General features: G+C 60.4%; 1 protein-coding gene and 1 non-coding gene across 6 annotated transcripts in view, besides 12 other annotated features; one reads left to right on the plus strand and one right to left on the minus strand.

The window, feature by feature from the left end:
* Window positions 520–1,078: an enhancer, noted in NCBI's record as "H3K4me1 hESC enhancer chr17:79364001-79364559 (GRCh37/hg19 assembly coordinates)". NCBI's record gives its function as "activates a minimal SCP1, AML or CMV promoter by ChIP-STARR-seq in naive H9 embryonic stem cells {active_cell/tissue: H9 hESC(naive)}" and the evidence as "EXISTENCE:reporter gene assay evidence [ECO:0000049][PMID:30033119]".
* Window positions 3,873–4,430: an enhancer, noted in NCBI's record as "H3K27ac-H3K4me1 hESC enhancer chr17:79367354-79367911 (GRCh37/hg19 assembly coordinates)". NCBI's record gives its function as "activates a minimal SCP1, AML or CMV promoter by ChIP-STARR-seq in primed H9 embryonic stem cells {active_cell/tissue: H9 hESC(primed)}" and the evidence as "EXISTENCE:reporter gene assay evidence [ECO:0000049][PMID:30033119]".
* Window positions 3,873–4,488: a biological region, named in NCBI's record as "H3K27ac-H3K4me1 hESC enhancer GRCh37_chr17:79367354-79367911".
* Window positions 4,219–4,488: a silencer, noted in NCBI's record as "silent region_9125". NCBI's record gives its function as "represses an Ori minimal core promoter by ATAC-STARR-seq in GM12878 lymphoblastoid cells {active_cell/tissue: GM12878}" and the evidence as "EXISTENCE:reporter gene assay evidence [ECO:0000049][PMID:35858748]".
* BAHCC1 (BAH domain and coiled-coil containing 1) overlaps window positions 5,776–25,367 on the plus strand; it is a 70,875-nt gene continuing 51,283 nt past the window's right edge. For 4 of the 5 annotated variants that reach the window (NM_001291324.3, XM_047436467.1, XM_011525063.3 and 1 more), the window contains exons 1-2: window positions 5,776–5,954; window positions 9,853–10,236. In NM_001291324.3, the coding sequence (NP_001278253.1) occupies window positions 10,059–10,236 (178 nt within the window). In that variant the 5' untranslated portion in view covers window positions 5,776–5,954; window positions 9,853–10,058. Of the gene's footprint in view, window positions 5,955–9,515; window positions 9,641–9,852; window positions 10,237–25,367 lie in introns of those variants that run through there. The other variant, XM_047436466.1, reaches the window with a different exon arrangement.
* Window positions 6,514–7,122: an enhancer, noted in NCBI's record as "H3K27ac-H3K4me1 hESC enhancer chr17:79369995-79370603 (GRCh37/hg19 assembly coordinates)". NCBI's record gives its function as "activates a minimal SCP1, AML or CMV promoter by ChIP-STARR-seq in naive H9 embryonic stem cells {active_cell/tissue: H9 hESC(naive)}" and the evidence as "EXISTENCE:reporter gene assay evidence [ECO:0000049][PMID:30033119]".
* Window positions 7,123–7,731: an enhancer, noted in NCBI's record as "H3K27ac hESC enhancer chr17:79370604-79371212 (GRCh37/hg19 assembly coordinates)". NCBI's record gives its function as "activates a minimal SCP1, AML or CMV promoter by ChIP-STARR-seq in naive H9 embryonic stem cells {active_cell/tissue: H9 hESC(naive)}" and the evidence as "EXISTENCE:reporter gene assay evidence [ECO:0000049][PMID:30033119]".
* MIR4740 (microRNA 4740) lies at window positions 11,035–11,097 on the minus strand. The gene has a single exon (NR_039894.1). It is a non-coding gene; the product is annotated as a microRNA 4740 (primary transcript).
* Window positions 12,111–12,290: an enhancer, noted in NCBI's record as "active region_12963". NCBI's record gives its function as "activates an Ori minimal core promoter by ATAC-STARR-seq in GM12878 lymphoblastoid cells {active_cell/tissue: GM12878}" and the evidence as "EXISTENCE:reporter gene assay evidence [ECO:0000049][PMID:35858748]".
* Window positions 12,590–13,115: an enhancer, noted in NCBI's record as "H3K4me1 hESC enhancer chr17:79376071-79376596 (GRCh37/hg19 assembly coordinates)". NCBI's record gives its function as "activates a minimal SCP1, AML or CMV promoter by ChIP-STARR-seq in naive H9 embryonic stem cells {active_cell/tissue: H9 hESC(naive)}" and the evidence as "EXISTENCE:reporter gene assay evidence [ECO:0000049][PMID:30033119]".
* Window positions 15,907–16,461: an enhancer, noted in NCBI's record as "H3K4me1 hESC enhancer chr17:79379388-79379942 (GRCh37/hg19 assembly coordinates)". NCBI's record gives its function as "activates a minimal SCP1, AML or CMV promoter by ChIP-STARR-seq in naive H9 embryonic stem cells {active_cell/tissue: H9 hESC(naive)}" and the evidence as "EXISTENCE:reporter gene assay evidence [ECO:0000049][PMID:30033119]".
* Window positions 19,428–19,722: a silencer, noted in NCBI's record as "tiled region #9433; HepG2 Repressive non-DNase unmatched - State 12:CtcfO". NCBI's record gives its function as "represses a minimal TATA promoter and a strong SV40 promoter by Sharpr-MPRA in HepG2 cells {active_cell/tissue: HepG2}" and the evidence as "EXISTENCE:reporter gene assay evidence [ECO:0000049][PMID:27701403]".
* Window positions 22,740–22,987: a silencer, noted in NCBI's record as "fragment chr17:79386221-79386468 (GRCh37/hg19 assembly coordinates)". NCBI's record gives its function as "represses an EF-1alpha promoter that drives an FKBP-Casp9 reporter gene in an ReSE screen in phorbol 12-myristate 13-acetate-treated (for megakaryocytic differentiation) K562 erythroleukemia cells {active_cell/tissue: K562(+PMA)}" and the evidence as "EXISTENCE:reporter gene assay evidence [ECO:0000049][PMID:32094911]".
* Window positions 23,380–24,081: an enhancer, noted in NCBI's record as "H3K4me1 hESC enhancer chr17:79386861-79387562 (GRCh37/hg19 assembly coordinates)". NCBI's record gives its function as "activates a minimal SCP1, AML or CMV promoter by ChIP-STARR-seq in primed H9 embryonic stem cells {active_cell/tissue: H9 hESC(primed)}" and the evidence as "EXISTENCE:reporter gene assay evidence [ECO:0000049][PMID:30033119]".

Consider the following 25,367-nt stretch of genomic DNA (forward strand, 5'->3'; position numbering starts at 1 on the left):
GCAGGGGAAACCAGGCAAAGGGGCGCTTCTGCCCTTTATGAAAATCACTTTAATTTAACCCAGATGGGTCTTGTTGATAACCTCATACAATGAGCACCCTGAATTATACTTTCCGTGAGAACACACTAGTTATATTTAGCCACAAATTACGACTCTGTGTTTAACAAGCAACTTTGAGAGTGGGGAGGGGGCCGGGCAGCCTCCTGACCTGGTTGGACAAAACCGGCAACTGCAGCAATGGAGACCCCCTCGCTGGAGGGGACGCCGAGAAAGCCGTGCCACGGGCTTCTGAGTCTCTCTTCTCTGCTGCTCTAGTTTCTTTAAAACACTTACAACCTCGTCCGAGGTCTGTCGAGGAGACTGTGGCCTTCAGGTACAACCTGAGCCTCCCCCAGGATCCCTGGGACTTCTGCCTTCCCACACCCCCAACCTGGCTCCCTGCTTGGGCTGGAGCCGGGGACCTTCTGGGAGAGCCCAGTTCGACAGGCTGGGGGGCTGGGGGCCGTGTGTGCCTGGAGGACAATCCTCCTACCCAGGTCTGGCCCCTGACAAGTCTTGCTCCTCTGTGGCCTGCCTCAGCCCCCTTACCCTGGGCCTCAGCCCAGGCCTGGTCGGGAGGGGGCAGGCGCTGGGGACGAGGGTGAGGGCACTCCCTCCATGCAGCCCCCTCCCCTGCCACCTCATCCCCTGGGTCCTGATAAATAATGAAGGGGCTGTGACTGGAAGCTTCGTTTTCAGTGGGGGCAGCCCCCTTCCCTTCGGAACCTTCGCCGTCCTCTTCCCCTCCACAACAGTTCTGCTCCTAGGAAGGGTAAGCCTCCAAAGGCAGAAGCTGTGGCAGAGAAAAGGCTGTCCCCCCACTCCAAGGCACGGACCCTGGGGCTTCCCGATCCTCCCCAGAGCCAGAGGCCACACCGCTGAGCAGGGGAGGTGAGGGGGGAACACACAGACCTTTCCCCCACACCCTGTTCCCTCCAGGCACCAGGCAAGGCCCTCATGAAAAGAACTCGCCCCAGTCGATAGCAGAGGGACCCGTACAGGCAGATGGGTGGGGTGGGGGGTCAGGACCTCTTCCAGGAGGGAGTGGGATTGTTCCTAACCCCCTGCCCCCAGCTGTCCTCTGGAACACTGATTCTGGGGTGGGGGTGAGCTGCTGCTGCCCTCCAGTTGAGGGAGGTCTCTGTGCTGTGAACCATCTTAGATCCCCCACCTCTACCCCACCTCTACCCCGCCTACCCCTCCTGCCGCCAGCCCCAGCCTCAGGCCTGGCCTCTGGACTTGTCCCCCTGCGCCTCTGGTGGGAAGAATTAAGAGTCAATTTTTGTCGTCAAGAAATTGTTTCTAATTTGCCCTTTGACTAATGGCCCAGGGAACAATGGAGAGATACCCAACACACGATTATTGGGGGCGCAGCGGGCGCAGCGCGGCTGCTCTCGGGCCGAAGCAGGCATTTATTTGGAGCAGCGGCTAATTCACAATTTCATGGAACTTGCCTGACACCCCCACCCCCTTGTATTAAAAAATGATTATTTATATGATGATTTCAGACAGAGCAGCATCTCAGAGGTTTGGGAGCCGGGAGACCTACATCTGCTGCTCTTGGGGAGCGTGGGGGTGGGAGAGGAGTGCTGGAGGGGGCTCCAGGGCTGGGCCCGGTTGTGGGGGAACAGGGGCCCCTAGGCTGAAAGGGAGAAGGCAGTTCTCGGGAGTGCTTCTGCGTGTGTGATATGCCTCTGCACACATGTCTTGTGCATGTGGGAGTGTCACATGCTGCACGAGGCTCACCTGTCTGCCCATCTGTGCTGTGGGTTTGGTTTTGTGTACACTTCCAAGTGATTCACATGTGGGCACATGAGTGTGTGCAGGCAGATGTGTGGGCACACATTCAAGACTGTGCACAAGTGTGTGTGTGAATATAGTGTGCGTTAAAGGGTGATGTGAGCCGGCCTGCTAGGTGTAGGAGCGCAGCTGGTTATGTGGGGCGGGGGGTTATCTGCTCCCCAGGCCAGAGGGCAAATCTGGAGTGGTGTATGCCAGGCCCATGGAAGTGACTCCAGATCCTGCTGGAGAGGGATCAAGGTGGGGTTCAAGGCCACTCCTGGCACTGTTCCAGGCCCCACTGGGTGTCCACAGGCCTAGCCTCACTTGCAGCCCGCTCACCTGCAAAGCTGCAGGAACTTCAGAGACCTGGGCCCTCCAGCATCAACACTGACCTCGGGTCTATTATCCCCTCTCCTTTCCTCCCCCTCTGTCCCCTCGCTGGCCCTCTCCCCAGTGGAAGGCAAGTCTGCAGATCCCCACACCATGTTCCTCTGAAATTAAAAACATTTGTTAGCTCTGGACAGCAGGAAGAGTAAAAAAGGAAAGTAGGGAGGTTTCCTCTGAGCAGATCGCCAGCCTGAGCTCCCGGCGGCCCAAGTCTTCCAGGGGAACTCGGGAGCTTATTTTGGTATTGCGGGAGCTGCCCAGCGGCCAGGCGCCTGTGCTGGGCAGCTGCCAGCCCCTCTCCACCGCGTCCAGCAGACCCGTCTGCAGTTATTTGCTGTAACAACTGTTTTGAAACAGTATTGAAAAAAAAAAAGCCCACTAGAATTTGCTTCAAGTGAACACTGGGGGAGGAGGAGGCAGAAGTGGGGAGGAAGGAGGAGGGCAGGGAGCTTCCGCACTGCCCTGGAAGGCGCACTCGACGCCTCGGGGCCTTTGCCCACGCGAGCAGCCTCTTTCGGGGACACGAAGGGACCAGCACTTGGGGGATTTGAAGCCAGTGCTCATCCTAGGAATCTGGTGAGGCTGAGCCAGAAGGGTCTAAACCAGCTTGAGGAGATAGGGGCCACGCACCCGCGAGCTACCCTCTGCCCTCCCATGTCCCTGGCAGTGGGCATTTCTCAAATGGTGATTGATGACTGGGGATGGGGGTGGGCAAGCCGAGGGCCCATCATTCAGGCTCCAGGACCCTCGAACAATCTGCCCACGGGGGAGGGGAGGCTGGTTTAGGGGCTCTGAGGGGCCTTTCCAGCGGCTGTCCTTCCAACACACTCTAGAGGAGACCAGGACTCCCAGGGGCTTGGGGCCTCCCGTTCCCCCACAGGGCGGTTAGAGGTGGAGCACCTGCCCTGATGCGAGGAGCTCAGAGCAACTTCTGGGACACCACGGGTGGCCACGGTGTTCTTTTTGTTGCATCCAAGATTTTTCTCGTATACGTATTTTCCTATATTAAAAAATTCAAATGAGGCTTTAAAAATTAACTTGAAAAAGGTTCCTGATCCGGAAACAGGCTCATCGGAGGCAGTGATGGGAACTCGGTTCCTTAGGAGAGTAGGAAATGCGCCGTCTGCGAGGGGCGCCCTGCGTGGACCCGGGGCCTCGGGGCGCGTCCACTTACCCGAGCCAGGAGAGACTGGGCCCCACGGTGTTAGCCCCGCGCTCGGGCTCGCGCGCCGCTTCCAGCTCGCGCCTCCTCCATCCCCGGAGGGCTCCGCGGGTCCCCGGCGACGGGTCCCTGCCCAGGGTCCGGGAACCTTCCCCTCCCCTCCTTTCTCAAGCGCCATTTCTCCGGAGCCGGGCCGGCCGTCCTCGGTGTACGCGGGAAGCGGGCAGCCTCCGCCTGCACCCGCGGGGCCGGGACCCGGAGGCACCCGCTTCCCCGACACACTCGCTGGGGCCGCTGCTCGCTGCTCCAGCCTCCCGAGGCCACGGCAAGAGCCCGGGGGTCGGCGCCACACACCCCCAGCCGGCGACCGCGCCCAGGGACCTAATTCAATCGCCCCCAGCCTAATGAATAGCCGCGCGCTAATCGGATCTCCGCGCGCTTCGGGGATTTACGCTTCCCGGCTCTCCCCCTCGTGCCCCGCGGCCCGCCAGACGTCGCTTCCGAAGGCGCCGGCCTGGGGCCTGGCCAGGGGCTCGGCCGCGGGGGGTCCCGGCCGCCGGAGCCGGGAGACGCCGGAGACGGGAGCCGGGCCCGCGCGACCGCCACTCCCGAGCCAGCCGGGGTGGGCCCCGCGCCTTGTCCTGCGTCCCCGGCCCGGCCCGCGGAGCGCCGGTGCTTACCTGCGAGCCCCGGGCTCTCCGGAGCTCCCCTCCGGGCCGAGCCGCCCGAAGCGGGCGCCGGCGTAGGCCCCGACTCAGGCAGGCGGGAAATCCCGGAGTCCCCGCCCGCGGCCCGCAGCCCCCCACCCCAGGTCGGCGTGGCCTGCGGGGGGGAAGGCCGGCCGGGGCCGGCCGCCCGCTTCCCCTTTCTCTCCAGATTCCTTTGATCCGCGGGCTCTCCGCCGCACCTCGGCTCCCGGGCTGCCCCGGTCGGCCCGCGGGGATCCTGGAAACGGTCCCCAGCTTATCTCCTTTCATCAAGCGGCCTTGGGCCGCCTTGAAACCGCGGAGCCAGTAATTGCTTTTTTCAGGAGGCCCAGTGCGGACTGGACAACAGCCAATCAGCGCCTTGTTTACACTCGGTGATGGACAGTCCACTGGCGGAGTGCCAACCAATCCCAGCGGTCCCGCGGGAGCGGGAGTGGGGGCGGGGAAACAGAGAGACAACAGGCTTTGAGTTTAACTCTTTCGTGTCCCTGCCGGAATGAGACGGTGGAGAATTTCGAATGCGTGTGAATCTGTCAGTTGGCTCCTAGTTTAAATATCCTTTTTTCCCCCAGAGGGGGAGGCAGAGATTCACATGGAGAAAGAGGAGCAAAAATAAATGTATCCATCGCCACTAAGACATCACCTCGACTCCCTGAGAATAAATAGCATTTGGGTGGGAAACCAAATTCTAACAGAAATATTTGTTTGCGGAATATTTTAGAAGTGGTTTGCATCTGATTACGATAAAAATTGTTCAGTGGCTTGCTTTAGTTGGAGTGAGGATTTAGCAGATAGGCAGACAGGGAGCAGCATTGAGAAATACTATACATGGTTTACCACACCATACCCGCTTCCCCCATTACCAAACTGAAAATATTTTCTAAATCTAGGTGTAGATGAAGAAAGGGCAATCCTTGTCTTCTCAATAAATCCCTGATTTTCATTTTAGTAGCTGCTCTGTTGCAAAGTGTGGCAGAGGGAGATAAAATTGAGAGCCAGTAATGTAGACGGCTGGAGACTCAGAACTCACTTCCCAGGGTCTGATCCCCAGGTCATGGGGAGGAGAGAGCCGGACGGGCTATTCAAAGCTTTTGCTGCCCAAGCAGCGGGCGTGCGTGCGTGCATCCGCGAGCTCGGGTCCGGGCAGGCAGCAGCTTCAGAGCGGTAGATGGGCCAGGCAACCTGGGGAGGCCTCTGGGCTTGGAGGTCTGGCCTACCTGCCACCTGCCAGACAGATTCCAGGGAGAAAAAGCAGCTACTTTTAAGGGGTGGTGGTGTTTCTTCCCTTGGCCTTCTGTGCGGCAGAAGCCAAACGTTAGACCTGCTGGATTAAACATATATGTGTGTGTGTGTGTCTGTGTCTGTGTCTACGCCTCCCCCTCCGCCGGGACACGCGCACTCGCTCGCTCCAGCTCCCTCTCCCGCCCTGCGCCACCACATTCCCATTCAGCAGCAATGATCTGCGCAGAGGAGCTGCGCAGTCGCCGGGCTTGAATTAGGCGCCATCGGGCTTGGTAGTAGCCCCGCTGCTTCCTGATTGGCAGTTCCCTGGCCCGGCGCCAGCCTATTGGGAGGCCTGTTTACGCCGAATGAGTGGCACGAGCTCCCGGCCGTGGAGGGCTGCGCGGCCAATCAGCGCGCTGGCTGTTCCGGGCTGAGTGGCACGAGCTTATTAGTATGCAGGGCCCGTGGCTCGCCGCGCCAGGCTGCAGGTTTGAGAGCCGCTCTGGATGGGCTCGCTAGAGTCGTTGTTGTGGAAGCGGTGCATTTACAGTGCAACAGTCAGCACATTGAAAATACCAATAGGAATACAAAACAAAGTCACATTTACTGATTTAATTGTATTGCATTCAGTTGTATCCAGGAAACAGCCTCCAGTAAGTAACTGAAATTGCTTTCATTTTTTTTTTGTTTTTGTATTTTTATTATTATTTTATTTTTTATTCTGGCTTTGGGGTTTTACATTTTTTTTAGCAAAAGAAATTCAGGATTGTGATGTTAAGAAGTATATATCTTCCCTTTTAACAAAATCCGTTAAAATGTTGAGGCTTTTTTTTTTCTTAAAAAATATGGACTATGAGCGATTTTTTTTTCTCTGAAAAATCTTATCGATCGGTTTAAAATTACCCCCGTAATGCATCCTTGCTTTGCTCTGAGCGCTTGTTGTCTCGATCGACACCCAGCATTAAAAACAAATACTCGAAGACAGGACAGGGACCGCCAGGCTGCGTCTGGCGCGAGCCGCGCGGGTGGCACCGGGCGGACAGTAGGCGAAGTCCGGGCGCCGCCAGCGTGCGCCCAGTTCTGGGTGACCCACGAACGAACCCCAACATTCGCTCCCCTACCCTGCTCCCCTCCCCGGAACAGTCCTGGGTTGGCCCTGCCCGGTCGGTCCGCGGCGAGGGGAACTGGCCGGGTCGTGGTACCCACGGCCGCTGCCCTGAGGGGCCTTCCGGGCCGAAGCTAGGGGCCGGGGAGGGGAATGGTCATGGCGAGTTTTTCGGGTCTTCGTTCCCAATTCAGAATTTTTTTTTTCCGGAGAAGTGGGGGTGGAGGAGGGGGACCGAGCAAGGCCGGCGCAGCGGGGCGTTTTCACCGCGCGCGTTCGGGACGGCGCGCGGGGCTCGGGTCACGGCCCGTGTGGCGGGGTCCGCGGGCTGGTTTTCTTCGGGCGCGGGGGTCAGGCGCGACCCCAGTTCTCATGACTCTCCCAGGGAGCGGGTGCGGCTGTTTCGCAGGGAGCGGGTTCTGCGGCGACGGCCGAGCCACTCGCGCCCCAAGGCGCGCCTGGTCCCAGCCCGGCCTGCAGGCCCCACCGCGCCCGCGCTCCCGGAGACGACGCCGGAGGGAGGCAGACGGGCCAGAGTCCTGGTCTCCGGCAGGCGGGCGAGGAGAGAGCGGGTTTTTAGATGCAAAAGCAGGAAACAAAGCAAACTTGTAGAAGCTCCAGATCCTGGAGCGCGCCAGCCACGCCTGGGGCCGCGGCAAGAGGGACCGGCGGCTCCAGGGTCACGCCCTGCCTTCCCGGGAGGGAGCCCTGTGCTCCTAGGTTCAGTTCCTTCCGAAATGCCCTCGTCAGCGATTCTCCGCCCGCCCGGGGCCCTCTGCCCGCCGCCACTTTTCGCTCCATTTCCTCCCTTACCTCAGCCCGACCTGGCGCTGCGGCGCCGTCCTCGCGGTCCTCCGGCGCGGCCTCTCCTGGAGCTGGGCTGGGAGTGGGCCCCGGGCCTCGGCACTCGGCGGGTGGCGGCGTCGCCGCTGCGGGACTGTGGGACTCCCAGCTCGGGCCGTGTGGCCGCCCTTCCTCGCCCCACTTCCTGGCCGCCTCAGGCTCCCCAGGCCCCCGAAGCCCGGCGCGGGCAGACGCGGAGGCGCGGCGCGGCCTCTCCCCGGGAGGAGAGAACACAAAGAAAAGCTCTCTCCAATCCGGTCAGAGCCGTGGCGGCGCAGGCAGGCGACAGTAATCCACCTCCTGTTTGCTTAAAAAGTCGAGCAGGCTGGTGAGAAAGGAACAATCGGGCCTGCGATCCGCCCGCAGGGGGTGGGAGATTAAAATTGTTGCTTCGTAGCCGAGCCCGCGTCCCGAGAATCGCCGGCAGCTCGCGCTTTCTCAACTTTGAAATTTCTTATTGGAGAGAAAAAAAAAAAAAAAAACAACCACAAAACAAAAGCACAGCACACACGACTCCCTGGAGGCCGCCAGGAAGCCTGGCACCCCCGCGTGCGCAGCCCCCGGCCCCTCTCCGGCCTTCGGCGCCTTTGAAGCTGCAGGTTTCTGACCTCCCTCCCTTTCCTTCTTTCCCTTTGTCCCGCCCGGCGCCCTCCGGGGCTCGGGAGGCGCCGGCCGGGGCTGGGGGCCCCCACGTCCCTAGTCCAGCCCGGGCAGCCCCTCCCCTGACCCCTGCGCTCGCAGCCCCCTCGCCAGAGCACTCTCCGGGCCCTGGCGGCCGGGCGCTCGCTTTGCAGGCCGGGATCGGGGCTTGGGAGCCGAGCTATTTGTTAGACCCGGGGAGAGAGCTGGCGATCCCCAGAGGGAAGGGAGCCCCAAACGCCTTTGTATGTAGTTGCCAGACAAAGAGAACTCTTTGTGTAGACCCATTTATTTACAATGCAAAAGCTCTCCGAATAAATATTAAAAAAGCTTATCAGCTGAGCAAATATGTATTCACTTAATACATTATGTTTTCGGTTATAGATTAAATCAAACACAAAATAGTCTGCAAATAAGACGTTTTAGAACCCGGACCATAAAATATCGCAATTTAAAAAGGTATTCAGTAGATGGAAAACATCTTAATCGCTTTGTTGTCATGGTGGAATGGCTACAAAAACACAAGGTTTTCCGCAAAGTTCCTAATTAGGAATATCAAGCCTATCCATCTCCCTTTTGTTGGAGGTGATAAACATTAAAACAATACGTATTTAGAAGATGAGGAGTAATATGTGAAGTGCGTCCAGGGAGCGCCTTCGGAGGGACGCCTGGGAGCACGGTGGTGCACGCAGCTTCTATCACTGGCTCCGACCCTCCGCACCCAGAGTCTAAAATTGTCCCCAATTTCGCCTGAGTGGATGCTCCGCGTTGGGTGGGGGTGGAAGAAAATGGAGGTGAGGGTTATTTTAGGTGGCCGAGGTCCGGGCAGGGTCTGCTGGCAGAAGGTTGTGCTGGGCCGGGCCCACCTTCCCCGGCTAGAGGGCCGAGCTGGGCGCCGCAGACCCCGCGTACCCAGGCCGCCCGGTACTGCCCGGAGCGGAGACCGGCCTCTGCTCGCGGTCCCCGGCAGGCGCTGAAGGAAGAAATCCCAGGGCCGATTTGGGCCGTTGAGAGAGAGCATTCTGACTCTGAAAGCACCCCCCCCACACACACCCCCAAGCCCCCAATCCGCAGAGGAAGATCCTGGGCGAATTTGATTGGGGGGCGGGGTGATTGTTACAGCCTCAACAGGAAGCTCCCGGCTCCGGGACAGCAGGCCGGGCACTGCGGCGTGGCGGCCCAGGTGATGCCGGTGGCGGTTGCGGGCCTCCGGGGCTCTGAGGAGCCGGCCTGGGGTCCTAGCGCGATGCTGGGGACAGGAGCTGGTCCCGCTGGGGCTGGGGAGGGGGGACCACGGTGGATTCAGAAGAATGGGCCGAAAGATGCATGAGGGGGATGGGAGTGGGGAGAAAAGGAAGGTTATTAAAAAAAAAAAAAACTCTTGAGTTACAATCAATAAAATTACTCGCTTAATTAGCATGGTTATTCGGTTAAGCGGAATGCAGTAAAAGCTGGACCTCGGCATGAGGTGGGGAGAGGGGGAGAGCTAGTGTGGACCCCAGGCCTTTTCCTCCGAGACACCTTTGGGCAGCGGGGGAGGGGAGAGGGTGTGCGTGTGAGTGTGTGTGTGTGTGTGTGTGTGTGCGAGTGTGCGTGATGGCTTCGCAGATTTGGGTTTTTATCACCCAGCAGAGCCAGCAGCCTCTTCGCCGCGGCGCCCTAGCTGCAGGGACCCGCGGGGACGAGAACGGGAGGCGGCGAGCAGTGCGGCTGGGTTCCCCCGGCTGCCCCGGGCCAAGCGTGGCCGGGACGGTGCGTGCGCGCGCGGGGCCCCGGGTGCTGGGCTGCGCGCGCGTGCGGCGGGGAGACACCGAGCGCCCCGGCCCCGCCACCCGGCCTGGCCGCCGCTCGCTCGGGCCGGCGGGGGTGGGGGGTGGGGGGAGTGGGTGAGCGGGCGGGGCGGGGACCCCCGGGCGAGCCGAGCCCCCCAGTCACCCGTGTCTCCTCTGCTTTTGCCTCCACAGACCATGGACCCGCACAGCGGCCGCTGGCTCGGTGCGCGGCCGCCCGCCGAGAAGCCCAGTCCTCCCGCGTGCTGACCGGCCCCGCCGCCACCACCGCCTGTGACCCCGGACGCCGCCGCCTCTGCGCCGCCCGCGCGCCGAGCCGCCCCCGGGCCCCGGCCGCGCTGCTCCGAGGAAGCGGCGGCGGACCGGGGCCGGGGCCCGGCATGGATGGCCGCGACTTTGCGCCGCCGCCGCATCTGCTGTCGGAGCGCGGGAGCCTGGGCCACCGCAGCGCCGCTGCCGCCGCGCGTCTCGCCCCGGCTGGGCCCGCCGCGCAGCCCCCCGCACACTTCCAGCCGGGAAAGTACTTCCCGTCGCCGTTGCCCATGGCTTCGCACACAGGTCAGTGCTCGGCCGGGGCGGGCGCGGGACGGGAGCGTTCGAGAGCGGAACAGGGCGCCCACCCCTCCGCTCCCGGGAGCAGAGAAGCTTTGGTTTCATTTCCCGGCCCCGGCCGCGGTGGCTGCCTGGGCGCTGAGCGGGGCCGCGCGTCCCGCCAGCCCCCCAAGCTGCGTCGCCGCGGCTTAGAGAGGCCCTTCCCTGGCCACCCTCCCCCGGGGGTCTCGGAGGGGCAGCCCCGGAGCCGGCTGAAATTAAAGCCTTTCCGCGCCTCGCCACCCTCCCCCGCCCCCTCCTGCAGATCTAAATTCCACGGAAACCTCTTTTCTGCATTCTGCATTCACCTCCCTAAGACGTTCCGGGGCTGGGACAACGAGGCGCTTTCTGCGGAAACAAAACGGCTGTTGTGGCGGGGGGAGGGGACCAGGGTACGCCGCGGCCTCGCGGATTAGAGTGGTGTGTGCGCCGGGCGAGCGTTAATAGGGACTGCTGGTGTAAGACGAGCAAATCCTGTTTCTATATAAAGCCTTAAAGTGTCAGGGCGAGAATGGGTTTGCAGGGATGCATTTGCCTTAACGAGTGCCTCTGGTATCCCGCTAAAGCCGGACAAAGCGTGGCCAGAGTGCGGCCCAGCCTCTCAGCCTGCGGCCCGGGGAGGAGGGCAGCGCGGGCGCGGGCTGGGGGTGGCGCGGGGCGGCGCTCAGGATTTCGGTGCAGGCGAGAGTGCGGCGGATTTGCTCCAAGAGGAGAGCGAGGCGGATTTGCTCCAAGAGGAGAGCGTGGGGCGCCGTGCTGGGCCTCGCAGGGACGGATCCTCTCGGGCGGTCCCCTCTGACTCCCTGCCCGAGAGGATCAGTCCTTGGCAGAGCGGGCCCAGGCCTCCAGGGCAGCCCTCTTCCCGGTGGCTTTGATATGAGTGTCGAGGGAGGTCAGGGTAGGGGCAGCTACCACGCCTGAAGCCCTAGAGGTCACCAGGCGGCGCGGGTAGATTCGGGGGAAGCGCGCAGGGCTGCGCTAGGGACCCGCCGGGTCACCCTGGTACATGGGTGGCTTTTGTTTACAGTTTGTTCTAAACATCAGAAATGTTTGTCGCTTTTAAAAACAAAATTGGCAGTAACAGTTATTATTGGTAGCTTGATGAACTGTGAATACTAATAAAATTATATCTGCTTTAATGGGATTACAATTAGTGTGTGGATTAAAACGGATGGCAGAGACGGGGCTAGAAAGGAAAACGTCGGAAAAAGGGAGGGCACTCAAAGAAAAACGTACATTTTCTAGAAAAAAACAAACTTGAAATTGCTTAATTGCTAACGGGCTTCCAGCATTTGCAGCGCCAGGAGATTGGAATGGGGGAGCCGCCCAGTGGAGGGGTCTCCCCAGCACTTCCCGGGTTGGCCCACACCCGCTTCCCTCCCTGCCTGGGCCTTTGGCGAGGCTGCCCTTTTCTCTCTGTTGCCCTTCCTTCTTTTTCTCCCTTTCTTTTTTCTCCTCTAGATTTGTAACTGGAAAGAGAAGGAGAAAAAGCACTTGCCTGAGCGATGGGTGATTTAAAAATATCTCTTCTGCTGTCCCTGTGGTTATCAAGCTTGTCTTCCTGCCCCTGCATGGGAGCTGCTGCCCACCCGGCTCAGGTGCACGGGGCGCTGAGGCTGGGGCCGCCCTGGCAGAAGGGACAGCTCGCCAGCCTCCCCACCAGCCCCTCTTCTGGCTGAAGGCTGGTGGCCCCCACTGGGGGTAGGGGGATTGTGTGCACCCCACCTCCACTGTACCGTGCCCTCCAGCCTGGCAAGTAACAGCACGACAGAGACAGGGGCCCCTGACACTGAGGCTTGCATGTTGGTGCACAGGCAGGCTGGGGCTGTCCCCTCCGGGAGGCAAGGCCAAATTCCCCATCAGGTCAGGTCAGCACTCTCCCTGACCCCATGCCCCAGCTCACATCCTGGCCAGGTCCAGGCCAGCTGCATTCTCCCCCTTCTGCCCTTACTTCCAGGTCTAGGCAGCACCCGGGTAGGTGGGCGCCTGGTCGGGTGGCCTAGCCCTTTGTCTTGCTCATTCTAAGTTTGGCCACGTGGTTCTTGGCGTGTAGGCCCCGGAGGGCTGTGAGAAACGGCTCTGGGCTCTGGCCTGGCCTGTGTCCTCCCTGCTTCTTCTTGATCCCAGGTCCTCCCAGCCTCCCCAAGCGCAGGGTGCTCTAGAGGGCGCTGGAGGCCCCTCGGGGCTGCCTCTTTCAGGGTCTGAAGGGTCATGTGTCCCCGTCCCTGGAGGCCCCATTTCCTCCCCCCTGCGGACCGAAGAGAACGCTTGTGCTCGGAGATGTTCAACCCATTTGTGATGGGCAACTTGGTCATGCAGACATCCAGCTAGAAGCATCTGTAGCTGAAAGAAAGCCTTTTGAAATTGTTAAGAGCCAGAATATTGTATTGGTTTTTAAAATTTAGCTGCATGTATTTTTTTAAAAAAAGAATTATACCCCAGATCACTTTGCTTTGGTCTGTGTCTATATATGATCTAGTTTAGAGAGAAAAAAGCATAATTACGTTAAACAATTTTTTTGCGTCTTGTGTGCGGACTTCCACATGGCTGGTTTGGCTGCCTTGCTTCCCATTTTCCTGGATGGCTTCAGTCCGCAGGCCACAGCTGCAGCCAGCCCGCCCCTCCCTCTGCTGACTGCCCCTTGGAAAGGAAAATTGACCCGGATTCTTCCCGCCTGTCTGGGAGTAGAATCCAACCATCGGGGATGGAGGCCCTGGCCTCCATGAGGCTGCCTCTTTTTGCTGGGCTGCTCTTCCTGTGCCTGTCTGGCCTGGCACTGCCACCCCGGCTGGACTGAGGCTGTTCCTGCTGGCTGCCGGGGCTGCCTTTCCCCAACCCCACCCAACACTTTCAGAATGTCAGTCTGAGGGGCCCTGATGGGTGGGGACATGGGGCTCCCAGGCTTCTTCCATTGTTTTTCTAAAAATGAAAGTGCTGGGAGCTTTAGACTCGGGCCGCAGGTTTTATGGTAAAGTGCTGTTCCAGTAACCTTGTCACCAAAAGGTGCAATTAAAATGTTTGGAATCATTATTTTTAGTTCAGTGTTAGATTTTGTCTCTAATACAGATGGTCCGGAGGCAAAGCTGTGAAATCTAGGGGGGAGAAAAGAGAAATCAACAAGAACCAACCCAAGATTTTTCATCAGTGCTACTGCCTGGAGCCACTGGGGCTGGCGCCTCTGCTGGGAGTGTGTGTGTGATCCGAGGCAGCCCCGGCCTGGGGAGAGGCCCACATAGACAGCCCCCCGTCCTGGCTTCTGGCTGGGCCCGCTCCTGTCCTGGTCTGTACGCCTCCCCTCTCCAGGGGCCAGGGCTCCACCAAGGCACTATTTCTCATCTTGGTTTCAATAATCTGCTCAGATTCCCCTCCCGCCCCTTCTCTTGTCTTCTTTGGGGTGTAAATTGCTGAAGCCTGGGAAACCAGGTGCTCTGAGCCTGGGGTTATTGTGGGAGAAAGGCGAAGGCTCCTTCTGGTGGGAGAACTGCAAACTACTTCTTTCCTGCTGAAAAAGTGCTTCCTACCGCCAATCTCAAAAAAAAAAAAAGAAAAAGAAAATACCAAAAAACACAACCAAAAAATACCCCCAACTTGGCAGAGGAAAAAAAAAGATAATTTCCTAGTGTGAAAAGACCCCATCACAGGCTCCTCTCCCTCATCATGTGATATTTTTTTGTAAAGAAAAAAATACATTTTCTTAAATACCTCATTAACTCCATGACACGATGGAGTGTTTCTGCAACAGTTAGCAACATTAAGTAGGTGTGAAAAGAGTTACTTTCCGAAGACGTCACCCGTCCCGCTCCATAAGTGACAGAGTTAGACATCAAAGTTGCCGCGAGCCCAAAGGAGCTACGGGAATCCGGGAATGTGGGGCCGCGTGGACCGGCGGCGGTGGCCCGCCACGCCCGCCCCGCCGAAGCCCTGTTTGGAATGTGGGTTTCCCCCAGTGGGGCTCGTGCTGCCACCACGTCTGATTATCCCGGTACGGAGCCGCCGCGCTTTCTGTAGGAATATCCAGGTCACGTGAGTAATAAGGCAAATTAGTGAGCCAGGCAGAGAACGGCGTTGTGCAAATAGCACATCTCCCCTGGAAAACGCGCGTCCCCCCAAACGTTCCCCGGTTATTCTTAGAAATCTTCTCTCATCTCCCTGTGAGACAGGGTTCAACAGCCCCCACAGACAGGACAAAATGCATAGGAGGCTGTTAGAATAACATGGATGAGGCTAAAAATACCCCTCAGAAACACACATAAAAAAGCCAAATCCAACAACAGAACGAGCTAAAAATATTCCAGGCTTTGGCAAAGAGCACAGAGTTAAATAAATTATACAAGAGCCATTCATGGGAGCAAGTTGACTTTCTCTCTTACGGGAACTTGGTTCAAGCTAATAAAAATAATAATTTACTAGCCACTGAGCTTTGCATGAGTTTAAATTTAATTGGTGGGGCTTCTGGCGTTTGTCACTTCTTGGCGATTAGTGGTCTTGCCCTGGCCTGGGCCAGAGTGGGGAGGGGATGCCGAGGCTGGGGCTCCTGGCAGCAGGGTCATTGTCCCCTGAGAAGCAGGGCCTGGGTGCAAGGGCAGATTACCCAGGAGGCTGGAGGAGGATGGAGACTATTGGGGGTTCCATCCAGGAAGGCAGAAAAAGAACTGGCAAGGCACGGCTATTTTAATTTGATAAATGATTGTACACCTTTAAGAGTGTTTTAACAATCAGGATACACTCCAGCAAGTTGATAGGATGTTCGCTGTCAACTTACATATGTCATCAGAGCTGGCTGTGAGCATAAATAATGTGCGAGCGCTTGGGACAGCTGCAGTCTCTCCTGGAGGCTGAGGCGTGGCAGGTAGCACCTCTGTCCCCTGGCGGGCACCTTTGTTCTCCTTCTCTCTGTGTGTCTGGAGGCAGGGACCGGAGAACAGTCGTGGGGAATCACTGAATGCTGCTTTCATCCTGGGTGGTTTGGTTGGGGTGCCTCCTCTCTGCGGACTTTTTAGGTCTCCCCACGAAAATAAGAGTCCCCAGAACTACTTGACCAGAAAAGCCACTGTGGATATGATCTGAAGCTAGAATAGTAGCATCGTCTGGTGTGTTTTGTTTTTGTTTTTGTTTTGTTTTTGTTTTTTGAGACAGTCTGGCTCTGTCTGCCAGGCTGGAGTGCAGTGGCACAATCTTGGCTCACTGCCTCACTGCAACCTCTGCCTCCCTGGTTCAAGCCATTGTCGTGCCTCAGTCTCCCAAGTAGCTGGGATTACAGGCATGTACCACCACGCCCTAATTTTTTGTATTTTTAGTAGAGACGGGGTTTCACCATGTTTCCCATGCTGGTCTTGAGCTCCTGAGCTCAAGCAATCTGCCCACCTTGGCCTCCCAAAGTGCTAGGATTACAGGTGTGAGCCACCGTGCCCGGCCTCTGGTGTCTTTTGAGGCAGCAGATGTTTATATATAGCCACTTCCCAGGAGTTTTAAACATCCACCCTGGGGTTGGAGTAAGGGTAACTCCCTTTACTCCCTCCTCTTCCTTGGCTGTTTCTTAACTCAATCTGCCTCCCCCGCCCCCAATCCTGGCAGGGCCTTCTAACTCCCAAAGGACTATATTTCCCAGAATACCCTGATCTAGCTCCAGGGTCTGAGCCCGAGACTGTCCATGTCCCTGGGCTGGGAATTCCCAAGCACAGATAGAGTTCAGCCAGTGCCGCTGGGAATAAATACTTTCCTGGTGGAAGAAAGCCTTGCTCCATCGTGCCCCCCTGCCCTTCCTTCTGGAAGAGGCTTCTGGGCCCCCCGGTCTGGCTTCCTCCCTACCATAAATACCTGAATATAGGCCCATAACAAATGGGACCTGTCCTCTGTCCTCTGCCCTCTGGATCCTGTGAGGCAGCTACTGTGATTGTCCTGGCCAACGCCCCACCGGAGAGTCTCCCCCAACCCCCTGAGCTCAGTACATGGCATATGCCCTCTTTTGGAGTGGTCTTCTCAGAGGGGCCTGGTTGCCCATCAGCTGCTGTGGAAGCGATACAGGGACTCCTCCTGGGTAGCAGCAGGGCCAGCCTCTGCCTAGGGAGTCCCTCGAGAAAATACCGCCCAGCCTTTGGGGTGCCCCCTTGCCCTCCTGACACCCTCAAACAACAGAAGCTGCCTGCCTTCTTAATGGGTTCATCCTGAATGAGAGGTTTCCAAAAAGAAGCCCTCCCTCAAGACAGGCACTGCCTTGTTCCCCTGAGGAGGGAGGCAGGCTCGTCCTGGCCTGTCCAGGGGAGGGTCCGAAACCCTTGGCTCCTGGACAGCCTCCTTGAGGGGAGATGGCCTCCCCTTGTGTCCCCCACCTCGCAGACGTGCTGTGAATGGGCTTGGACTCAGAGCACGCCCCTGTCTGTTGGGTAGGTGGGTTACTTGCTCTGCATTCCCCCTCCCAGCCCCCGCTCCCCGCCCACCTGGGAACGGCTTCCCTGGGGTTCCCCGGTCCCCATTAACCTCTGGGACCTCATTTCCCCTCACCGAAGACACAGTGTAACAAGCAAAAAAAACATCAGAGCCAGCGTGCAGTGTCTGGAAAATCACCCGCAGCCCAGGCCCTTCTGCAAAGGATGGGGCCTGGAAGGGCCTCGGGCGTGGGACCGCACTCCGCTCGGGCTCCGCCCGCTGACGTTTTTATGGGATAATATACCGTTTCGCTCACGCAGGCCTATTTGTCAGTGGGCTGCCCCTGTTTGTTGTAATCTATAATATTACTGCCTCCCGTGGCCCCAGAGCAGCTGCCGCGGGAGAATCCAGGGATGGTGGGCGCTAGGTGTGCGCTGAGGGGATGTGGTGGCAGGCGCTGGGGGCAGGCGGCGCCCAGGTCCTGGTTATGAGGTCGGCGCGGGGTTTGCAGCGAGCCTCGGGTCTGGTGGGGAGGCGTCCAGCGCCCAAGCTGGGAGCCAGCCGGGCTGGCATGCTGCAGCTGTCCACACGATTAGGTTCCCGATCGGATCAGCCAGGAAGTGGGTTTTTTTCATTCTGACCTGCTGTGGCGAGGAAGGGAGGGACAAACAGGTGGGCTGGGTTCCTGCCTTCCCTTCTCTCCCCTAGGATCCCCCAAGAAAAAGTCCAGTGTCTTGAGATGCGGGGACTCTGAGGCTGGCCGGAAGTGCTGCCCCTCTCCGGGGTCTGTGGGAGACCCACTGTCACTTGCAACTGTGAGGAACGGCAGAGCAGCCCCTTGCCCCAGCTCAGTGCAGGGACATGGTTTTCCAGTGGAAATTTCCAGAAATGGGGGATGGGTGTGCTTCCAATAGGGTCCTCTGAGCAGCAGGCTGGGCTCCCTGAAGCGGAGGGTGACATTGGGGGGCAGTGCCTTCTTGGGGTACCCCACCAAAAAAGAGAAGCCTTAGCCATATTAAGTAAGAAAGAAACCAGCCTGCTGGCGTCTTCAAGGGAAGTCGGGTCTCAGTGCGACTCCCTCTCTCTCCGGTCCTTGGAGCACAGTTGAAGCTTTGCTTTCTTCCCCTGAGACTTCTGCAACCAGGGGCGCCTCCTGTTCTTAACACATGGCATGGGTGAGAGTGAGCAGATCCAGGGAAGAAGAGATGGGGGATGCCCAGACCGGAGACCCAAGAGACCTGAGCCCAGGATGGGGGTGCCATGGTGGGTGGGAGAAGGGGCTGCGCTGTGGGGCAGGTCCCCTCTCAGGCATGAACAGACATTGCCGCCTGGCAGGGGTTTCCTGGCTCTGTGGACGTAGAGCTGTGGCCCCCTCTTGGGTGAGGCCCACTCTGCAGACCCCAGTAAGGATATCCCAGCGGGGTCTAGCCACAGGTTCACTGACCAAGCTCACAGCTGCTCACACTCACAGATGTGGCAACATACACCTGCTCCTGTGTGCTCACACCATGAGGCAGGTGTTCACCTGCACACACACACTCACACTGTTCACAACTGGCCCACAAGGAGTCCCACTCCAGTGGCCCCTGGGAAAGCCAGGTTGCTTAGTGACTGGCACGGGCACCTGTCTGCCCCCTACGTCCTCCCCAACTGCTCCATCCTCCGTCTCCTGGCTCCTGGTTCCTGGCCACCTGCAGGAGGGAGCAGAGCCCCAGATCCACATGACCCTCTGTGGCTCAGCCTCCCTTCAGCGCCTTCCCCGGCCCCCTTCCTCCTGCTGCCCCTGTGTGGCTGTGGACCGTGTCCTCGGGCTCCAGCTGAACTTGGCCTTGCCCTTTCCTGAGCTCTTGCTCGGCAGGAGGAGGACATTCCCGTCAAGATCAATTCCAGTGCGTGGCGAATGCCTCGGGGCCAGGTCTGGTCCCGGGCCTGCCCTGAGGCTGTCTGGTTGTCCTGGAAGCCGCTGCCTGCATGGGGCACTGCTTCCTGTCCTGTGTGGCCACCTCCACCCCAGGCCTCTGCGCCTGGGGTCCTAGAGGTTCCTAGATGCTCGGCTACCCCAGGCCCCACCTGCCTCCCACCCCCCAGGCTCCCACCCTGCACCCCCACCTCTCAGCTGCCCTCAGTACCGTCTCTGCCCACCGTGCCCTGCCCCTCCTGGGGCCTACCCCTGCCTGGCCCTTTACTTGGGCAGCTTCTACAATCCCCAGTGCCTGCCCCTGCCACCCTGGAGTTCTGATCCCGGCGTCACATCCTCTCAGAGCCCCCGTGTGACTCTGCCTAAGTGGAGAGGGGTCCCCGACTGCTCCATGCCCACCTCTCCTTTCCTCCATGCCCCACACCAGCTGAGCTGTTCTTGGCCTGCAGCCCTTCTTGTCCCCTTCTATGACCTCCCAGCCCTGACCACCCACCTGGGTCTGTCCCACAGAGCCTGGCAGCAGCCCCTGCCCAGCCCCCCTGGCTGGCTTGTTTGGGGCCAGTGCCTTTCCCCTGATATCAGCCACCTTTCCTGGGAGACTGCAGGCTCCTGAGTCTGGGGGTGGAAATGTCCTTCTGTCCCTTCCTATCCCCAGAGCTGGGCTGAGCCACACTGGCCTCCGTCTCCTGCCCCAGTGCATAAGTGCCCATCCACGCTCAGGTGACGCGCACAGGCACGCGTGTGTGGGTGTGAAGAGCTCTGCTTTTCCCCTAGGATTTCACCCCCACACCGGAAAAGATGAACGATTAACTCTGGGAAAACTAAGTTAGGAGGTGGCAGTGGTGAGAGACCCAGCCAGGGTCTCTGGTCTCTTTATTAAAAATCAAGGTGTTCCCCCCACACTGGACCATGGCGTGGGGCCACAGGCTGCGTGGGCACCTGCCTGGGGGACATGGCAGCATCCCCTGGCCTTCGTGTAGCATCTTCAGTTGTCATGGCGGCTCCTGAGGCTGTGTGCGCTACACCTTAAAGGGTGTCAGAGCCCAGGGGATTGGCAGATGGCGCTGTCCTCTCCTGATTAGCGCCACACGAGGTGGTGGGAGACAGAAGTGGGGGTGGGGCTCCTGTCCCCCGAAGGCTGGAGCTGCGCCGGCTGAGTGGCCTGGGGAAGGGGGGAAGTGCGTGTGAATGGAGGGAGGCAGCCCACAGCTGTGAAGGAGGGTTCTGGAGGGCCAGGAGCGGGCTCAGGGTGGGGGCCAGTTCCTTTTCACCTCGTGGCCCTGGCTGGGGCTGTGAGGCGACTCCCTGATTGTCCACGCGGGGTCGCGGGGGTGCAGCTAGGATTGGGAGCAAGAGCCAGTGGCTTCATCTGGGTCATAGAGCACTAGTGGGTGAGGAGGGACACCTGGGGAGGGCTGCCTCTCCCCGCCCAAGGGCCTGCTCCCCTTGCCACTGACCAGAGGGAAATCGGGCCCAGGGAGAAGGCCGGGTGTGAATCAGCTGCCTCACCCTCTGCGACGTCTCCATCCACAGGCCGGCCCTGCAAGCACCTCCCCAGCAGGCTGGGCTGTGCCAGCGAGGGGGAGACCATGGCCCTGGGACTCATGTCACCAGGCAACAGCGCTGCCTCAGGCCCTTCACATTGTGGGTTTTGCCTTCCAGTCTTCAGGCCCGGGAGAGCACCTGGCCTCAGCGCCTGCCCGAGCTGAGGGGAGCGTGTGTAATGGGGCCCTGCCAAGCCACCTTGGCTGCAGCTGCCCCGGCCTAAGGTGGGGATCGGTGGCCCCTGCTCTTCCCTCCCTGAGTCTAGGCCTCCTACCTCTAAAATGGGCAGTTGCCCTGCCCTGCTGGAGGGTTGAGTGGGACTGGGGGATGCAGTTGTGGCCCCGGTGCCCTCCCAGGAGCACTGTGGCCGTCCGTGTCACCTGTGGGGGTCCTAGGAGCCTGCACGAGCTGCCGGAGGCACATGGCCTGTGCACGCCCCTTCCCTGGCGGAGACTCAGAGGCCTGGGGAGGAGGCGGCTGTACCTGGGACCCTTGGTGGGGCCTCCCCCCTGGGCAGCAGGCAGCGAGACTCCTGAGGGCCCACCTCATGCCTCAGGCCCAGGCCCTCTCCTCTGTGTCCATCGAGGGATTCTGTGGCCTTGAGGCCTTAGTCTGGCCGTAGAACTAGGAAACCTGGGCCCTTGGCTCCTGTGCCCTGGCACGGGGGTCCAGCTGCCCCACTTACCCCTACCTGTGCAGGGGCTTGCATGGTTTTGGTGTGAAGGTGGACGCCCACCCTCCAGCATGTCCTGGGGCGTTGGATGTGACTGGGATGGGCAGATGTGGACCTGCTCTGAGGCACCACGGGTCGAGGCACCACGGGTCCTGGCACCACGGGTCCTGGCACCACGGGCAGTGCAGACGCTCTGGACCCCCAGGTGGGGCCCAGGTGCTGGGGGGCCTTCGTGGCCTTCCGGGTCTACTGGGCTCTGGGACTTCAGAGAGCTTCCCAGTGGCAGAGGGGGACTGGCCCAGGGGAGACACCAGCAGATCATGTGGGATGGGACCACAGAGCTGGAAGAGCAAAGATGTCCCCGTATCCCCCCAGTCTCGGGGCGGGGGTGGGGGCTCTCTGCCTGGGGTTGGGGGACAATGAAGCAGGCTATGCTTCCCCGGAGTCCAGGGGTGGGGATGGCCGCTCATCAAACACTCTGCTCCCCCAGGGCGGGTCTCAGACCTCTCTAGGTCCCTCCCATGAAAGGAGGGCTTCGGAGCCGCACCTGGGTCTTTGTTGTCCATATGTCTGTGTGAAGGCCTGGGGCCCCCGTGCGCCTCCCCTCGGGCCTGAGGGGTCCCTCTCTCTGGGGTCACGCTCCCTTGTTCTCAGTCCCGCAGCCGTCCTCTGCGTGAGTCCATTCATCACGTGCCTGCAGGTGCCTGTGTCCTGTCTCTGCCCCAGGCTGAGGCCGAGGGTCTGCGCCACCTGGGCATGCCCAGTGGGGCCCCAGGAGGACTCGCCACCCCCAGTTGAGCAGCTCCCCTTCTCGGCAGCTCCCAAACCCTGACCCCAGACAGGCAGCAGGAGCTGGACGTGCCGTCAGCCCAGGCCCCTGAGAGTGAGGCTGGAGAGACGGGAGGCACCGGTGCCCTGTGGGTGGGAGCACTGCTGGCTCCATCCTCCACTGCATTCAAATTGATCAGGGAGGGTGGGGTTGGGGGGGAACAGGGTCCTTGAGGTCGTCAGCCAGCCCCACCCCTGCCTGCCTGCCTGCCTGCCTGCCTGCCTGCCTGCCTGCCTTCCTTCCTTCCTTCCTTCCTTCCTTCCTTCCTTCCTTCCTTCCTTCCTTCCTTCCTTGAGAGGCCTCTCTACCCAGCACCCACGAAGACGGGTGAGCTGCTGGCCACCCGAAGAGGGTGTGGGGTGGTCAGGTTTGGGGCATTCCAGACCTGAGGCCCTCCAGGCAGCTCCCCTTCCACTCTGCCCAGCCCACCCTGCCAGGGAGGCCTCAGCATAGTCCTTGAGCTCTGGGGGCCCCAACCCAGCCTCCCTGGGTCTCTGGGCCTTTGCCTCTACCCACACCTGCACGCCTCAGCAAGGTCGTTCCCGACAAGCCCCTCACCGCCCCGGCCCCTGCCCCTCCACACCCTGGTCACTCTTCCCTCCAGCTCAGCGCTTACCATCGTATCCCTGCATCCGAGGGTAGCTTTGCCACAGGAAGCATTTGCATTCAGCGAGACACACAGGCGCACAGGGACTCAAGTGTGGCCACGATTAGGGCAGGACCAGGGCCCCGTGGCCTCCTGGTTTCTGGCTTCAGCTGGTGACCCCCAGGAGGCCTGATGGCAGGTCCCCCGTCCCTGGCCGGTGAGCTGGCTGTGGAGTGGCAGGAAAGAGCCCAGCTCTGTGGTCCCCCAGGATCCTCCGGATCTCCGTAGTGGGACAGCTACCCCATCCGGCCAGCCCTGCCGTGGGCCCTGGTCACTCCAGGCCAGCAGGTCGCCTTGTGGGCAGTTTTCCTGGAAGCCAGTCCCCTCTCTGAGAGTTTTCATATCCCTTTGGGTGTCCTAAAAATAAACTTTTAATTTATTTTAATTGAATACCAAAATTAACTTAAATTGTAATGCATTTTTGGGCTAACTCTTAAAAAGCCCTTAGTGTGTGTAAATACAGATAAAATCAAAGAAAATTCAAAAAGTGTATGTGAGGCCATGCCATCCTTCTAACAAGTTGAGAGTTTGATGGTAAATACTTAGCAGAAATCCAAAGTGCCTAAGTCTGGAGGGCCTCAGGTGGGAGGCGGCTGGGGGTCAGAGACCCCTTGGGGCCCGTCGGCCAGGGCAGGGAGCAGCCACCACGCTTCAGCCTGCGTTGCTGACTCGTGCACGAGGCAGGTCTGTCTGGAGTCACCGACTCTCCCTCCTGGCCCTTCCCGTACCTTCCCGGGGGCTCTTTCCCCGTCCGCGCCCCCCGCCCCACCCTGTGGCTCTGTCTCTTCCCTGCATGAGTAGCTGGGGCTCTCTCCCACATGATCTCACAACTGGGTAGCTTAAAACAGCGAACATTGATTATTTCACAGCTTCTGTGAGTCGGGAATCTGACTCAGGGCCAGGTGTTGGCTGGGGCCTCGGACATATCCAGACCCAGCTGTGGGGAGTCCCCTCCAGAGGCCACCCTCCGGCTGTCGTGGGTGTGGGAGTGTTGCCGGCTGCTGGCTGGAAGGAGAGAGTGAGAGAGCGCAGGACGGAAGCTCGGTGCGGGTGCGGCCTCACCTTGCGGGGGCAGTGGGTGGGTGTCACTTCCTCCACATCCTCTTTCTAGAAACGAGTCCAGGTCCCGCCCACACCAAGCGCCAATTACATAAAGGTGAACACCAGGGTCCAGGGTTATCAGGGCCTTCTCTGAGGCCCCCCACAGCAGCCATACGCTCCCCAACCCCAGAGTGGGCCGTCGGGACCCCACCCGTGGCTGTGGCTGCCTCCCCTGTGCTGACCATGCCCCCCCCGGGCGCTCGCTGCTGGCTGGGGGAGACCTGCCCTCGGGGGTTTGTGCCTTTCCTCTGCCCCATGCCCTCGGCCTCCTTCCCTGTGACTTGGCCAAGCGTAAGCCCCGGGCTCACTGGAAGCCTCGCTCCTTCTCAGCCTCTGCACCCCCGTGCCAGCCTGGTCCTGGACATCTGAGGCGAGGCTGGCCCTGTTCGTCCCTCACCCCTCTTCCTCCCCCTTCTGTCTTCCCCCCACACCACACCACCGCCTCCACTCTGGGCTGTCCCCTCCGCAGCAGCGGGCCCCTGGATACCCGTGGACCGTCCCCACCCCAGCCAGGGCAGTGCTGTCCACGCAGGTGCAGTATCGTCTCAGCACCTGTGGGAGGTCCGTTCCCAGACGTCCTGCCTTGGTGGAGTGAGCAGACCCCGAAGCAGCCACAAGGCCGCGGGGGCTGCAGCAAGGTCCCAGGGCCCATGCGGGAGGCAGCCCGCTCGGACCACCTGTGGCTTCCCTGCACTCCAGGCTGGGCTCAGGGCGCGGGTGCGTGACCCTGGCCTGTCATGGGCACTCAGCAACTGTTCGTGTACCAGCCGGGTTAAGGTGTCCTTCTCTGGATGGGGCGCAGGGCTCGCTATGGGGTGCTGGGGCGGCTGTGTCCTCTGGTCTGGGCAGCGCTTTCTCCTTCCGTTTCTGCATCAGCTGCCTGCCTGGGTGGGGTCCGCAGGTGCGTCAGCCACCCCGGGGGCTCCCCCAGCCCACCTTGAGCTGACGCTGGCAGCCCACCTGGGTGCCCTTGGGATGGGGAGCTGGCCCTGGACCTGGCCTGCTGGATCCATGTGGTCTGAGCGTGTCTCTAGACTCTCCTCTGAAGCTGTGGGGGTGCCTTCTGAGCCCTGACCCGTGCCAAGGAGCCCCCGCACAGCAGCCCAAGCCACCTGCCCAGGACCAGCCGTGGCCCCCTCGATGTCCGCCTTGGCAGCAGAGCGGCTCCTCCCATGGCAGGACCTGTGCTGGGGCAGGGGCAACGGTGTGGGGGCACCTCCTTCAGCGAGGGCCAATGCCTGGCGCCCTGGCCTCTGGGGCAGGTCTTGTCTGGGCAGCAGAGGCTCAGGAGGGCGCTGGTTCTCCCAGTGGTCCGTGAGGCCGGCAGGGCATGCAGGCGGCCAGCATCACGGCCCGGACCCCACAGAGGCGGAGCTCGGGCTGTGGGGTTGGGTGCTGAGGGCACTAGGAGCTGCCGGACCTCACCAGGGCCTTTTCTCCCTCGGACCTCCCGTCTGGGCCCCAAACCCCCTCGGCCAGCCCCATCTACCCCATCCCAGAGGTCCCTGCCTGAGCCACCCACCTCGCCCGCTCCCCTGCAGAGTTCCTAGGAACGCCGAGTTTTTACCTCAGAGGCTGAGGTGAAAAGTAAGATGAATAAGATGAACGTGTGTGTCGTGAGGACGTGGGTCCGTGCGGCAGGAGCGCTGGCCGTCGGGAGGGCCTGGTGTGGCCGTCGGGGGCAGGAGGGACCGAGGTTCCCCGGGGTTCGTCACAGCCTCACCACGTGTCCCCAACCCCAAGGCCCCGGGACGGGGTGAGGCTGGGGGCGGAGGCGGCAGGCACCCCCTGGGCCCAGCCGTGCCCACTCCCCTGATCGCTGCCACGCTGCGCTGAGAAGTCCTGTGTGTTCCCTGGATCCCGGTGTGGTCTCCGTCTCCCACCCCGGCCTGTCGCATCCCCACCCGACTGGCCATTACCCGCCACGGTGTACTATCCTCGCCAGCAGCTGTTACCCGCCCCGGCGTACTGTCCTCGCCAGCAGCCGTGCACTCTGCACGTTTGCCCCCTGGTTCCCATT

Source organism: Homo sapiens, chromosome 17, assembly GCF_000001405.40.
Source record: "Homo sapiens chromosome 17, GRCh38.p14 Primary Assembly".
NCBI classification, from domain to species: Eukaryota; Metazoa; Chordata; class Mammalia; order Primates; family Hominidae; genus Homo; species Homo sapiens.